This window comes from Homo sapiens, chromosome 4, assembly GCF_000001405.40.
Source record: "Homo sapiens chromosome 4, GRCh38.p14 Primary Assembly".
Taxonomy (NCBI): domain Eukaryota; kingdom Metazoa; phylum Chordata; class Mammalia; order Primates; family Hominidae; genus Homo; species Homo sapiens.
In genome coordinates this window covers 103,652,888-103,669,199 of record NC_000004.12, presented here as the reverse complement: position 1 = coordinate 103,669,199, position 16,312 = coordinate 103,652,888, and the positions used below count along the sequence as shown (strand labels likewise).

The following is a 16,312-nucleotide window of genomic DNA, read 5'->3' as shown; positions in this document are numbered from 1 at the left end:
ATTATTTTTAATAATAGATACATAATAGAATACTATTCAGCCATGAAAAAATGAAATCCTGTCATTTGCAACGATATGAATAAAACTGAAGGATATTATGTTAAGTGAAATAAGCCAAGCACAGAAAGACAGATATTGTATATTTTCACTCATACTTGGAACTAAAAAAAATATATTGTGTATTCCAAAATAACTAGAGGAGTGGATTTGGAATGTTCCAAACACAAAGAAATGATAAATCCTTGAGCTGATGGATATCTTAATTATTTTGATCAGATCATTACACATCATACGATTTTATCAAAATATCACATATACTTCATAAATACATACGACTTTTTTTTTTTTTTTGAGACAGAGTCTCACTCTGTCACCTAGGTCAGAGTGCAGTGGTACAATCTCAGCTCTCTGTACCCTCCACTTCCCGAGTTCAAGCAATTCTCCTGCCTCAGCCTCCTGAGTAGCTGGGATTACAGGTGCATGTCACCATGACTGGCTAATTTTTTGTATTTTTAGTAGAGACGGGGTTTCACCATGTTGGCCAGGCTGGTCTTGAACTCCTGACCTCAGGTGATCTGCCTGCCTCGGCCTCCCAAAATGCTGGGATTACAGGTGTGGGCCACCACACCTGGCCGAAACAACTGTTATGTACTCAAAAAAAATTAAAGATTGAAATAAAATTTAAAAAGTAAGCATTCTTACATACCAACAAAAATTGCAACAGCCACCTCAACTTTCAGCAACCACCACCCTGATCAGTCAGCAGCTACCAATATTGAGGCAAGAATCTCCACCAGCAAATGATTATGACTTGCTGAAGGATCAGATGATCATTAGCATTTTATCAGTAAGTAATTTTTAATTAAGCTATGTACATTTTTTAGACATAATGCTATTGCACACTTGATAGACTACAGTACAGTGGAAACATAAGCTTTAAATGTGCTGGGAAACCTATAATTTCTGTGACTTGCTTTACTGCAATATTTACTTTATTGTGGTGGTCTGGAACCAGACCTACAACATATCCAAGGTTCTCCTGTATGTCAGTAAAGGAATTGTTTTCAAAAAAATAATCTTCTGGCCAGGTGTGGTGATTCACCAATTTGGGAGACTGAGGTGGGCTCATCACTTGAACTCAGGATTTCAAGACCAGCCTGGACAACATGGTGAGATCCCACTATCTCTACTAAAAATATAAAAAATAGCTGGGAGTGTTGGGGCACACCTCTGGTCCCAGCTACTCAGGAGACTGAGGTGGGAGGATCACTTGAGCCCAGGAGGCAGAGATTGCAGTGAGCCAAGATCACACCACTGCACTCCAGTCTGGGTGACAGAGACCCCATCTCAGAAGGAAATAATAATAATAACAATCTGCTAAGAGTTCAAAAGTGTTTTCATAGGGAATTAAACTCTCAATAAAGTTGTTTTAATAAAATTTGTTTTAATCTTTGTTATTTCTTTTAAATGTTTTACAACTTTGAGGGGGTTATAAGTGCAGATTTCTTACATTCATGTAAGATAAGTGGTAAAGTGTGGTCTTTTAGTGTACTAGTATTTTTACATTATTATAAATACATAATAGGTGTACATATTTATGGGGCACAAGTAATATTTTGATAAAAGCATATAATGTGTAATGATCAAATCAGAGTTATTGGAGTATCCATCACCTCAAGCTGTTAGCACTTTTGTGTTAGAAACATTCTAATTCTAGTCTCTTAGTTATTTAGTTATTTAGAAATATACAATAAATTAGTATTAGCTAAATAAGCTGCCCTGTTGTGATACTAAACACTAGATCTTATTTCTTCTATCTAATTGTATTTTTGTATTTATTAACTGTACTTTCTTTACCCTATCCTCTTCAGTACCTGTATGTGGGAGCTAAAAATATTTGAGCTCAAAGTTTTTTTGTTTTTGTTTTGTTTTGTTTTGTTTTTGAGACAAAGTCTCACTCTGTGCCCAAGCTGGAATGCAATGGCGCGATCTTGACTCACTGCAACCTCCGCCTCCTGGGTTCAAGTGATTCTCCTGCCTCAGCCTCCCAAGTAGCTGGGATTACAGGCATGCACCATCAAGCCTGCTTAATTTTTGTATTTTTAGTAGAGAAGGGGTTTCAACATGTTGGCCAGGCTGGTCTTGAACTTCTGACCTCAGGTGATCCACCCACCTTGGCCTCCTGAAGTGCTGGGATTACAGGCATGAGTCACCATGCCTGGCCTGAACTCAAAGTTTTTAATATGTAATTGATGACACTGAAGTGACTTTATGAAGCAGCTCTTTTGAAGTTACTTATGGAAGTGGTTTTTGAGACAATATAGAGGTGACACAAAATGTCAGTAAACTGGACTTCAAAAGAGTGATTTAGAATTTTATGTCTTATGGGTGAAATAATCAAATATGTTCTGATTTTAAAACTACTTATTACAGAGATAGTATAAGTAGCAAAAAATTTAGCAAGTTTTATATTGCCACTATAGATTACTACTTCTAAATCTGTTATCTGAAATTTTGAGTAGGCATTGTTTCATGTAATATTCTTTACTGATGCAGCATTTTGATACAAATCATTTTGTAATTACTATTTAAGTAAAAAATTAAAATTTTAGTATTAAATGAGTTATATATAAAGTTCTTAGAGTGTATGGTACCTAAGCATTCATGCATTAGCAATTATTACTTTTATTGTTAAAATAGAAAATTTATATTTATAATCAATATATTAATGAGGTCATGTTTAATACCTAAATCTCTAGCTTCATTCAGTACCACCTGTTTTTTCCCTGTCCTGTATGCTGTAGAGCTGGCCTTCCATAGTTCCCCAAATGCACTCTGCTTTCTCCTACCTCAGGACTTTGCTGTTCAACTTCCTTCTCTCATTCCCACCTTCACCCTAAATAAGCCCCCACTTATTTTTCTAATCTTAATGTTGCTTTCTTGTGGAAGTTATACCTAATGTCTTTACCACTGTGTCCACTTATAACCAAGACGAGGTCTAATTCCCTATTTTATGCTTCATAATTACTTGTACATAGCTTTATAATATCACACTGTAAACAATGAGGAAATTTTTATTCACCAGAATTTCCAAAAGGTTGAGCTAGACCTACCAGTTTAATGAGGGAGTGAGGGACTGGGTTAAACTTCACAAGAGGTTGTAAATGAAGAGTCACCCATGATGTATGTAGGGTTTTAGAAAATTAGGTGAACATTACAAAAAGAACAAACTCAAGGACAAACATCAGGACAAAGAATGGCAGTGTATTCTCCTCTCTCATAAATCTCTAAGTTCAATATAATTTTGAAATCTGAAATGCTTTATATAATTAAATTTCTTTTGGAAATCATACGTATATTTTTTACTGATTTAAGAATAGTGACAGAGGGAACTTTAAAAGTCAGATTGGTAACTTTAAAAATCATGGGGTATGGTACTGAGCACACAGGCCATCACACTAAAGCCCCAAGGAACATTTAACCAAATATCCTGGAGGCAACGTTACTTCAAGGGAAATTTGTGTGATAATTTCTAACCTATTTTGTGACTACTTGAGTAATATATTTCTTCTGCATTAGACTCTGAACTCCACAAGGGCAGGAGCTACTTCTATTTTGTTCATCAATATTGCCAAAAAAGATAACAAAATCCCAGAAGATAGCTGGTATTCAAGAAGTTCTTTAAAATAAATACATAAATGAGTAGATAAACCTAATTCTAAATCTAAATTGAATGCCTATAACATAGAAACAAATACTTTCACTATTCTGAAGCTGTTTTAAATATAATTTCCCTCAAATATCAGTATATACATTTTACTTATAAAAATCAAAGAATTTTAGATGAACAAGTGATTTGTTTCTTGACAGATAATATCCTATTATATGTATATATTCATATATACATATATGAATAGTCATAGTCATATATACATATATGAATAGTCATAGTCATATATGAGTCATACATGAGTCAGCAAATATAGATTATTTTAATAAAAGCTTATTCACTTTGAAATTTATTAAGACAACATTTATAATCATCTAAATGATTCATTTATTCTTAAGTTTGTCTAAGACAGTTATGGGCCGGGTTTGGTGGTTCATGCCTGTAATCCCAGCACTTTGGGAGGCCAAGGTGGACAGAAAGCTTGAACCCAAGAATTCAAGACCAGCCTGGACAACATGGTGAATCCTCATCTCTACAAGAAATACAGGAAAAAAAAAAAAACTAGCCAGGCATGCACCTGTAGTCTCAGCTACTCAGAGAGCTGAGGCAGAAAGATCACTTGAGCCAAGAGTTGGAGGTTCAGTGAGCTGTGATCACACCTCTGCACTCCAGCCTTGGCAACAGAGCAAGAGGCCCATCAACCAAACAAACAAACAAAGAATAGAAAAGGCAGTTATGAAAAAAATCACAAAATAAAATGTATCTAGAAAATGCATTTTGACAAAGGTCATGTATCTCTCAAATGATTTGTCAAAGCAGAGAAGCAGAAAATACCCTAGCACTGAAGGCCAGAAGTTGAAACTTCATGGGTCATGAGCAGCTGTTGCAACTAATCTTTATTTTGCACAGAGAGTAGCCAGACCGTATTTTGTGTTTGGGACTTAACAGACTAGAACATATGCTACTATGACCAGGAGCAAATTGATTGGAAGAGAGTAAAATTCGTATCATTTTAGGCAAATTATTTTTTGCATAGTTTCTACAATCAAATAAACATCTGAAGGCTGGATTCTGTCTTCATTGAAAAACTTGAAGATATGTAAAAGCTCATAAAAATCCAGAAACAACTTAATAAAAATGCCAACAAAAGGAAGAATTATAATAGATACAAATAACAATTACAAAATTGGAAAGGCTTTCTTATTGACATCAGACAAAAGTTACATCCAAACTAATCTGCCTTTCAAAAGACAATAAGTAAACATAAAAGACCACCTCAATTATATCAGAAAAATAGTAAGTGGTAAAGCAAAGCGGTCTAGTATTAGAGTGGAAAGGAAAACTTTTAAGAGGTGGCTTTAAAACTATTAGTTTTCAATAGATGCTTCTGAGAATTTCAGCTTCTATAAAGGATAATAAAAAGTGACTTTAAAACATGTTTAGGTGGTATGCTAATATGAAGAGTAAAGAATCAGCTCTTAGCTGTTACTTATGAAATAATCCTACTAAGGAGATTCTAATGTCTTTAAGAATCTGGTGAAGGAAGAATGGTGATGAGAAGCTCAGCAAAAATCCTTGGAAAAGCTGATGTAATCACATAAAATATTTTTTAAAGCAATAAAGCACTGACAATTATTTGGGTGAAATTATATCTCACATCTGACTATTTATTCTCAAGGTCCAGAGAATGTTTGTTCAGGTGAACCTAAATATCCATCCTCTCCACGCAAATTATTGTTGCTGAAGAAAGTTACAAAATAGAAAATATTGGTGCCCAAACGAATTCCAAATCAACAATTTCAAATAAGTTTTCATCAGAGCCTGGCAATTCTCCCTATTTCTTTGGCCAACCAAGTGTCCCTTTCTACAACAGTATTTTGGTATTTCTTTACTTTCCTCAAATCATTCACTTAATTCAACCTCCAGTGGTAATGCCCTAATCTAAGCAGCAATTATCTCTGAACCAAATCAGAACATAAGTTAGATAACTTACTTCCCTGCTTCCATTCTTTATATATATGTTTTTTATTTTTTATGAGACAGAGTCTTGCTCTGTCACTCAGGCTGGAGGGCAGTGATGTGATCTCTGCTCACTGCAACCTCCACCTGCCAGGCTCAAGAGATGCTCATACCTCAACCTCTTGAGTAGCTGGGATTACAGGCCTGTGCCACCACACCAGGTTAATTTTTGTATTTCTAGTAGAGATGAGGTTTCTCCATGTTGGCCAGGCTGGTCTCAAACTCCTGGCCTCAAGTGATCCGCCCACCTTGGGCTCCCAAAGTGCTGGGGTTACAGGTGTGAGCCACTGTGCCCAACATTTGCTTCCATTCTTTTCCTCTTCCAGTCTCCAGACTGAAGCTCGAAGCTCTTTTCTGGAGGAAATCTGATTATTCTACTTCTCTGATAAAATTGCCTCAATTACTTTCCACTGGCAAAAAAAATCCACAACCTGTACTATAACTTCATCTTAAACCACCTTCCCTCTTTACTTTCTGTGTATCAATTGCAGTATCCTGTAATTACTAAAGAATATGATGCTTCTTCCACCTGTACCCACTGTCTTAGTTTGTTAGGGCTGCTGTAACAATGTACCACATATTTGAGTGCCTTTAAATAACAGTAATTTATAGTCTTATTGTTCTGGTGGCTGGAAGTTTGAAATCGATGCTCCATGATACATGCTCCCTCAAGAACCTGTAGGGGACTCTTTCCTTGTCTTAACCTAGCTTCTGGTGATTTGCTGGCAATCTTTGCTGTTTCTTGGCTTGTTGATGCCACATTTCAATCTTCTGTCTTCACATAACATTCTCCCTACATATCTGTTTCCAAATTTTCCCTTTAAACAAGGACACTAGTCATATTGGGTTAGAGACCACCCTAATGACCTGATTTAAGCCCAATTACCTATGTAAAGAATCTATTTCCAAATAAGGTCTGTGATACTGGGTGTTGGGTCCTCAATATATCTTTTTTGGAGGGTCACAATTCAAACCGTAAAAACCCACCATCAGGCTGGGGCGGTGGCTCATGCCTGTAATCCCAGAACTTTGGGAGGCTGAGGCAGGCAGATCACCTGAGGTCAGGAATTCGAGACCAGCCTAACCAATATGGGAAACCCCCTCTCTACTAAAAATACAAAAATTAGCCGGGCGTGGTGGCGGGCATCTGTAGTCCCAGCTACTCAGGAGGCTGAGACAAGAGAATTGCTTGAACCTGGGAGGTGGAGGTTGCAGTGAGCCAAGATCGTGCCACTGCACTTACGGCCTGGGCGACAGAGCAAGACTCAGTCTCAAAAAAAAAAAAAAAAAAAACACCATCAACATAGGAGTTTTTCACATGCTGTTCATTCTCCCAGAAATCTTTGCAACCCTCACTCTTCTGCCACCTTGCCTGGTTATCCTTCCAAGTTTCAACCTAGAATGACTTTTCTTAGGGACAATTGAAGTACAATCTAAATACATTTTTCTCAGTTCATGTATACACTTGGCCTTACCTTCGTAACAGCTGTCACATCTGTAATTTACATTTATTGGTGAGATTATTTGATTAGTATTTGTCTGCTTCACAAATGGTATGGACTTCACAATTTGGGAAGTATTTTTCTACTTCACAGAAAACCATTTTTGCCCAGTGTTGGATCACTAGTGTTTGGAATACCATAGTAGGCATTCAATAAATGTTTTATTGAATAAATGAATCATGGATCAGACCAGCTATGACAAAAAGGTATGCTAGAAGTTTCAGTATCTCTACTATCACTAACATGTTCATGAGAACATAAACTGATTATTTCCATGTAATTCAAGTAAAATGATATTTTACCTGTTAGAAATTAATTTCTAACAGGTAGAAATTATTTCAGAAAATACCTTCTCTAGCATTAGACTAATTAGACTGGCCAGAAGAATCAATGCGATTTGCAATTTACTTTGAATTATCTGTGCTACAGGAGTTGTACAGGGCTTTAAGCTTGCTTGTGTTATTCCACTTCTCCCTTTACTCTCAGAAAATCAACTGTCTAAATACCTAAATCACATTCATTAGATGCCAGAGCAAGCAACAAAGCAAAAGATTATAATGAGATTTGAGGGATATTCAGTTCAGTACAACAAATTTATTGACAGGTGCTTGGCTTTGAAACACCAATACAGAAATAATTCCTATATTGAAATAAATGCTATGTGAGTTATAATCAACATGAGCAGGAACAGAAATGCCCACATATAATTCCTTTATATATTTTACCTTTGTTTTAATGTTACACATAAAGGCTTTTAGATTCAAAAATGCAAAATGGCAAAATTCTACTTCTGATTCTTTGGTGGGTATCTCTAACACACACACACATATAACACATAAGTATCTAACATATATATCATGGAGGAGAAATATATATATTTCTCTCCTAAAATAAATGGTTATATTCAAAATCTATAATCTGTATCTATATTGTCTTTGAAGACTGGCAAAACTGGCTTAAAATTCTAGCTCTTCTCTTATTATCTGGATCATTATGAACAATTCCCATAATCTTTTAAGCCTCAGTTTTCCTTTCTGTAAAATAGAGGTAATAGTATTATTCTGTGGTTGGATTATTATGGCTATTAAGTATATATGATGTATGTAACCCTATTACATACATTATGTACCCTAGTTATGGTTAACAATCAATTTTTTTATTATTATCTTCACCAAAATAACCATGAGAGTTGAATTTTAAAGTCTCCTATTTGAAACATACGCATTATTTTTCTTTGTAGAGTTCACACTGTTTTCCTAAACTTAGGTATTTTTTTGTCACTACTTTTTCTTTTCTCTTTCTGTAAGCTTTATTGAGGTATACTTGATATACAAAAAATGCACATATTTAATGTATACATTTTGATGAGCTTGGAAAAACATGATATCGCCACAATCAAGGCACTAAACATATCCATCACCTCAAAAAATTTCCTTGTGTTCTTATGTGTGTGTATTTGTTGTGTGTGTGTGTGTGTGTTAAGAACACTTAACATGGGATCTATCCTTTTAACATGATAAAGTTCATGATAATTTATTGCTAACTATAGGTACTATGTTATACAGCAGAAGTCTAGAACTTCTTTATCTTGCATTATTAAAACTTTATATACATTGAGCCCTGAGCAATCATTATCTGTTCTATGCTTTCATAAGTTTCACTCTTTTAGATACTACATATATTTGGAATCATGTAGTGAATTAAGCCAGTCACAAAAGGACAAATATGATTATTTTTCAAATCTAAGTTTCATGTTTACCTAATGGCTGTTATACATAATGAATTAAGACTGTTTTCTTTAGGTAAATCATGACTATAGTTAATATTAAGAATATTATATAGATAATTTTCACAATATCTTCTGAAAATTTAATTCTGCCCAGTAGTTACAACAACAAAGATTTATAAACATATTGATAAAATATCCTTATTTTGAAATATTTATTCTTAAGGTTAACATTTTTTGGCCTATGCGATATTCATTCTTTGATGAAAGTATTACGTCTGAAAATTTTTCATAAATCAAAATATATTCTATAAACATAAAATGACCAAAAGTAGAATTGAAACAACATAAAGATCGTGTTTTATTAAAATACAAAAAGCTAATTTGTTTGGTACATATTATTTTTGTCTCTGAACATTAGCTAGAATTTGGCAATTAGCCATGCTATCTCCAGTTCAAAATTGGAAGTTGCTTCTTTCAGCTATATTGTTACTCTGGTACTAAGTTAATAAAGCATGACTCTACTTACCATATTTACAGAATTCCTAACTTCCCCAAGAAGTTGCCCTCCAAAAGTCATATTTAAGTATGCTTTAAGTATACTTTTTAGAGACTCAAATATATTTTTCCGTTACAACAGTGTTATATGTAGTTACACAGATAGGCACCATGAAGATGTTCATGAGGCAGTATGAATTCAATATGAGGTATAACAGGAAGGCATAGCCTCAATCGAACTTGATTTATTAATCACGGAAATTCTGAACTTATCTCCTGCTGCTCTTAAATGGGTTTATGGACCATATCTTTTATAGGAGTTTCACATCTTTGTCAAGTATGTGGTATAATCCATATTATTTCTCTAGAAATTATATGTTTAAAAGTTAAACATACAGAGGAGACATGAAGGTTTTGAGCTGTGAAACCAGTATTTGTAAGCACTTATTAAGTGCTTTTCCAATTCCATTCAACAGACATTTATGAATTCTAATGTGTTAGGCACAATACCAAATCATTAATATCTTTCACTTACATCGGAGGTACCCAGTTCCCTGGGTTAGGGACCAGTACCAGTTCCTGGCCTGTTAGAACCAGGCTGCACAGCAGGAAGTGAGTGGTGGCTGGTGAGCTAAGAAGCTTCATCTGTTTTTACTGCCATTCCCCAGTGCTGCATTACTGCCTGAGCTCCGCCTCCTGTCAGGTCAGCGGCATTAGATTCTCATAGAAAGCCAACCTTATTGTGAACTGTAGGTGCGAAGAATCTAAGTTGAGTGCTCCTTATGAGAACTTAATGTGTGATGATCTGTCGCTGTCTCCCATCAACCCCAGATGGGACCGTCTAGTTGCAGGAAAACAAGCTCAGGGCTCCCACGGATTCTACATTATGGCAAGTTGTATAATTATTTTATTATATATTACAATGGAATCACAACAGAAATAAAGTGTGCAATAAATGTAATGCCCTTGAATCATCCCCACACCATCGCTCCCTCACCCACTGCCAGTCCATGGAAAAAAATTATCTTCCATAAAACCGATCCTTGGTGCCAAAAGGCTGGGCACCGCTGACTTACATCTGTTGATCCTCACTTTACCCCAAGAGATGGGTGTTCTTATTTCAATTTTAAAAATAATAAAGCTGAGGTTCAAAAAGTTTAAACAAGTGTCAGAATAGAATTTGAACCTAGATCTTCCTGATTCCTAGACTATGCCATGATTACCATTCTACGCTGCCTCTACTCAAGCAGTCCTTATCAACTGGTTTCCCAAAAGAGCAATGACTGTAACTATTGAAACGCCTTTGAAATACCTTTGAAACTCCATTTCAAACTCTGTTATAAAGAAAACCAATGAAATGGTTTTGTTTGTTTTTATATAGGTATATGGCTATTATTGATCCCTTGAAACCCAGACTGTCTGCTACAGCAACCAAGATTGTCATTGGAAGTATTTGGATTCTAGCATTTCTACTTGCCTTCCCTCAGTGTCTTTATTCCAAAACCAAAGTCATGCCAGGCCGTACTCTCTGCTTTGTGCAATGGCCAGAAGGTCCCAAACAACATTTCACGTAAGTTAATTCTCTATTATGGTTTTCAATTCAGTTTATCAAACATTTAGGAAACTACAGATTAGGAGCAACAATTAAATAAGACTGACATTTCCCCCAGGGTTCATACATTATTTGGAAAAGGAAATATATAAAAATACTGTAATATGGTATGATTTGTGTGTGGTCAATAAGTTGTGTAAGTTACTAAGGTTTTTAATTGGAAATATGAGGATGTCTATGTGGGATGGCACTGGAGAGTTTCCTGAAGGAAGTGATAAAAGATAAAAGCAATGTGCAAAGAAAAGCATTGTGTTATTGATTGAGAAATGAGTGAGAAGGAAGAAATCAAAGCCCAAATGTGTTGATTGCTCTTTTAGGAAGTGTAGCTGAAGGGAAGGAGCACCCTAGTAGGTTATCTAATTTTATTTTGGTTTGATTTGGTTTGTGTTCTTTTGCTTGTCTCTAGACAAGCAAAAAGCATTAAAAAACCTGAACACTAGATTGAAAAGGAAATACAAATGCTATAATATATGGTAAAATTTGGTTCATATTTTATACCCACATTAAATAGAGCAAGAAGGAATAATAATGTAATTGTGTAATTTATTGCATTTGATTTTTAAATTATAATCTTAAATTTTATTTTAATAATGTACTTATTTTTCTATTTTACTCACCAATTTTTCCCTTTAAAAATAACAAATGGTGCAAATAATGGTTGCCATTTAAAGCAGTCATTTTATCTACCTTTGCTCTACCCAAAGTTCAGATTTTTGAACAAAAATATTAGGAGGCACTTATTTAAGGAAAATCAGACAGCTCATATTAAACTGAGTACCCTATTCATATTATTAATACATCTTAATTGTATGATAATGTTATCATCTTCAAATTATTTGTTGACTGAATTATTTCCTCATTGACTTTAAATCAATACTTAGTAATCTACTGAGAAATGGAAAGGCAAGGATATTTAAGATTCACTTTACAAAAAACAAAACAAAACAAAAAAAACACTGGTATGGAGAAGACCGTTCTAACAAACTTTTTAATTACTTTAAAGCTTTCCAAGACAGTGAAATCCATACAAATTTTGTAAAATTATAAATTATATTTGGGCTATTGTAGTATGGCTTACTCTCCTTTTCCTCGCTAATTGAATTCTTATAATTTTGATTGAAAGCTACTAAATACCAGAATTTAATTTGATAATTCACAGCAGCATACTTCTCGTTTGACTACTATGTCGACATGTTTTTTTGTTTTGTTTTGTTTTGTTTTGTTTTTACCAAGTTAACAATGCAATCAAATGGACCCAGACTGGAAAATTGCATGTAAATGTCTTTACCTGATTTTTAAAAATTGTAGTAACTTGTGGATTAATTATGGCTCAGAGTATCTACTTACTTTTTTCCCACCATTTGAATGAAAAACAGTTTATGTATGTCTGATGTTGCAGCAATAGAGAAGACAGTCCTATATAGGAGAAAACATATGCCGGTTGATTCATTTATTCTATCCCTTCCCTTTTCCTCCAATGATACATTTAATTGGTTTAGCTCAACAATTACCAAGCAGAGTACATAGCAGTGGAAAGTCGTTCCTCCTCAACCTCTAGGCAAGGAGAACTTATGTTTAACTGAGCCCTTCAACCCAGCTATAGTTTTCATATACCAAGTAAAGATTGACAACATCAACTGGCAGCATTTGAAACATAAATATAAGTGACAATAGCATGATATTTTGATGGAATTTTGAGATGAATGTATAGAGATAATGTAGAAATAACTCTTGGTAGTTTTAATTATGATTTAAAGCTGAGCCAATTCAGTCCCCAATATTTCATTCCAATAAGGTCTTCAGCATGTGTTTTTCTTATTTTTCATAGTTACCATATTATCGTCATTATACTGGTGTACTGTTTCCCATTGCTCATCATGGGTATTACATACACCATTGTTGGAATTACTCTCTGGGGAGGAGAAATCCCAGGAGATACCTGTGACAAGTATCATGAGCAGCTAAAGGCCAAAAGAAAGGTACTGGTCCATGTTGTTTACCTAGCATTTGTATAGGTTATGGTATATCAGAAAGAAAAGCAATCTAGTCATGGCATGTTAATACAATATGATCTGATGCTCTACTCCTGTTTTTAATGTCTTTGTTTTAATTTTTTTTCTTTTCTTTTGGTTTTGTATAAGCTGCTGTCCACATACTGTAATCAGTCTGTTATATAATAGTTAATTCATTACATAAGGACTTCTTAAAAATTGCCTTTTGTAAAGTATTCTTAATTACTCTGCTGAAATTGCTAAAATTTCACTATTCCAGTTGATTGTATTTTTGCAACTCTATCTTTCTTTGTCATTTATTGAAAAGAATGCCTCTGATGTATTCTATAATCTGCTCAAGGCTTCTTTTATCCCAGGAATGACATCTCTTCTAGAAAGTGCAATAATTTTCTAATATACATCTATCTTTCCTGTATCCCCTCGTCTCTTTTTATTTCTCTCTCACTTTCTCTGTGTGTTCTTTCCCCTGATAAGACATTTTATATGTATGTATGATTAAAGGATGAGGATTGTATTAATACTATTCTATAATTTATTGAGTGACATTAAAAAGGCTGTTTCTAATTTACATGAAACAAAAACACCTCTAAAATATTATATTTTACTAGGATTATTTTATTGAGATTTTTTCTACTATCGTTATGCGACTAAATAAGTTAGATTTTTTTCATAAATTTGTGGAGTTAAAAGGAAACACATTCCATCCTTTTCTCCACAGTTGGGGTGTACCTAATGCATCTTGGAGAGGTTTTATCAAAGATGAATGAATCCTACTGATTATGCCAATCATTATTGTTTGTTCCATTTATGACTTATTTACACAGTACTACTAGCAACACATGGACATTTCCTTTAAAATTCAGTCAACAGTCTTAAAAACACTTAGCTACAAAAACTCACTTAACAGTGATCAATCAGGTTTTAAAAATGCAATGTACAAAATGGATTCCATTTTAATAGTGCTTTTTCTCTGATATTGACAAATAATACTAGACCACATTTATGTTTGGTTAACATTTACCATGATTTCTAGCATTTGAAAACAAAAAGTAAGAATGAGCTTTCCCAGATCAATTTACTCATTTCAGGATGTACAAAAATATATCTACTGTGTATGTAATTCAATTTTATTTTTCTTTCAAAAAGCTTTACTTAAAAATAATGTGCACAAACAACCAAATGGCCTCTGGCACCTACAAACGAATCCTAAAGCGAGGAGAGCTTCAAAAACATGGCCCTCTTACATGAACAGTATCTCTCTCCCCTTTGTAATTTCAACCCGCCTTATATAACATCTTGCTCATGTTGAAAGATACTCTTTTCTTGGGATAATTTCTTATAGCTATATCTTAGGTATCATCAGAGTCAATGACTGATGTTAGGTTCTATGTATTTCAGAATAATTTCTCTATAGTACCTGGTTAGTTTCTGTCATTTATTTCTTTTTTTTTTAATTTTATTATTATTATACTTTAAGTTTTAGGGTACATGTGCACAATGTGCAGGTTTGTTACATATGTATACATGTGCCACGTTGGTGTGCTGCAGCCATTAACTCGTCATTTAGCATTAGGTATATCTCCTAATGCTATCCCTCCCCCCTCCCCCCACCCCACAACAGTCCCTGGTGTGTGATGTTCCCCTTCCTGTGTCCATCTGTTCTCATGGTTCAGTTCCCACCAATGAGTGAGAACATGCGGTGTGTGGATTTTTGTCCTTGCAATAGTTTGCTGAGAATGATGTTTCCAGTTTCATCCATGTCACTACAAAGGACATGAACTCATCATTTTTTATGGCTGCATAGTATTCCATGGTGTATATGTGCCACAGTTTCTTAATCCAGTCTATCGTTGTTGGACATTTGGGTTGGTTCCAAGTCTTTGCTATTGTGAATAGTGCCACAATAAACATACGTGTGCATGTGTCTTTATAGCAGCATGATTTATAATCCTTTGGGTATATACCCAGTAATGGGAAGGCTGGGTCAAATGGTATTTCTAGTTCTAGATCCCTGAGGAATCGCCACACTGACTTCCACAATGGCTGAACTAGTTTACAGTCCCACCAACAGTGTAAAAGTGTTCCTATTTCCCCACATCCTCTCCAGCACCTGTTGTTTCCTGACTTTTTAATGCTCGCCATTCTAACTGGTGTGAGATGGTATCTCATTGTGGTTTTGATTTGCATTTCTCTGATGGCCAGTGATGATGAGCATTTTTTCATGTGTTTTTTGGCTGCATAAATGTCTTCTTTTGAGAAGTATCTGTTCATATCCTTCGCCCACTTTTTGAAGGGGTTGTTTGTTTTTTCTTGTAAATTTGTTTGAGTTCATTGTAGATTCTGGATATTAGCCCTTTGTCAGATGAGTAGGTTGTGAAAATTTTCTCCCATTTTGTGGGTTGCCTGTTCACTCTGATGGTAGTTTCTTTTGCTGTGCAGAAGCTCTTTAGTTTAATTAGATCCCATTTGTCAATTTTGGCTTTTGTTGCCATTGCTTTTGGTGTTTTAGACATGAAGTCCTTGCCCATGCCTATGTCCTGAATGGTATTGCCTAGGTTTTCTTCTAGGGTTTTTATGGTTTTAAGTCGAACATGTAAGTCTTTAATCCATCTTGAATTAATTTTTGTATAAGGTGTAAGGAAGGGATCCAGTTTCAGCTTTTTTTTTAAACATTTCACTGTGTACGCCTAAACAAATTAAAATAAACCCAGTGATTGTAGATTATAGTTTTTCTTCATATGCATGTAATGTTTTTCTAGAAAGAAATAAAAATTTAATCTGAGTGTTTCTTTTGTTTTTGAATTCAGAGTCCCAGAGGGAACAAAAAGGAAGAGGGATTTTTTTTTTAATTTTGTCTCTAAATAAATGGTGAGAGTAAGGCAAAACATTACCTTTTGATTTCATTACTCCACAGTTTCAAAATAGAAATACTAATTCAGACTGGGAGTGTGACCCTTCTAGAATATTTCAAAAAAGTAAGACATTTTAAAGTTCCAGTTTATATGTCTTCCTCTTGGTTTGTATTCTAGGCTGAAATAATACGAAATGGCCCCTTACATCATGGACTTCTCATAATAAATCTGTTTGTCCTTAGATTTCTTTTACAGTCAGTTATTGGTATGAGCATTGATATCTAGGCACTAATATGCATATTGTTCAAAATAATAAAATTTTAAAATATAGCTGGCCCTTCTCTTAATTTTTTTCTTTTTATCTAAAGTCAAAATATTGTTCTGGAGTTGTTTAGAATACAGCTATTACTAATAATCATGT

At 34.6% G+C, this 16,312-nt stretch overlaps 1 protein-coding gene across 1 annotated transcript in view; it reads left to right on the top strand.

Annotated features, from left to right (window-relative positions):
- The window catches only part of TACR3 (tachykinin receptor 3), a 133,955-nt gene that overhangs the window by 50,786 nt on the left and 66,857 nt on the right, over positions 1–16,312 (top strand). The window contains exons 2-3 of the mRNA NM_001059.3: positions 10,797–10,985; positions 12,856–13,006. Coding sequence (NP_001050.1) covers positions 10,797–10,985; positions 12,856–13,006 — 340 coding nt within the window. The remainder of the gene's footprint in view (positions 1–10,796; positions 10,986–12,855; positions 13,007–16,312) is intronic.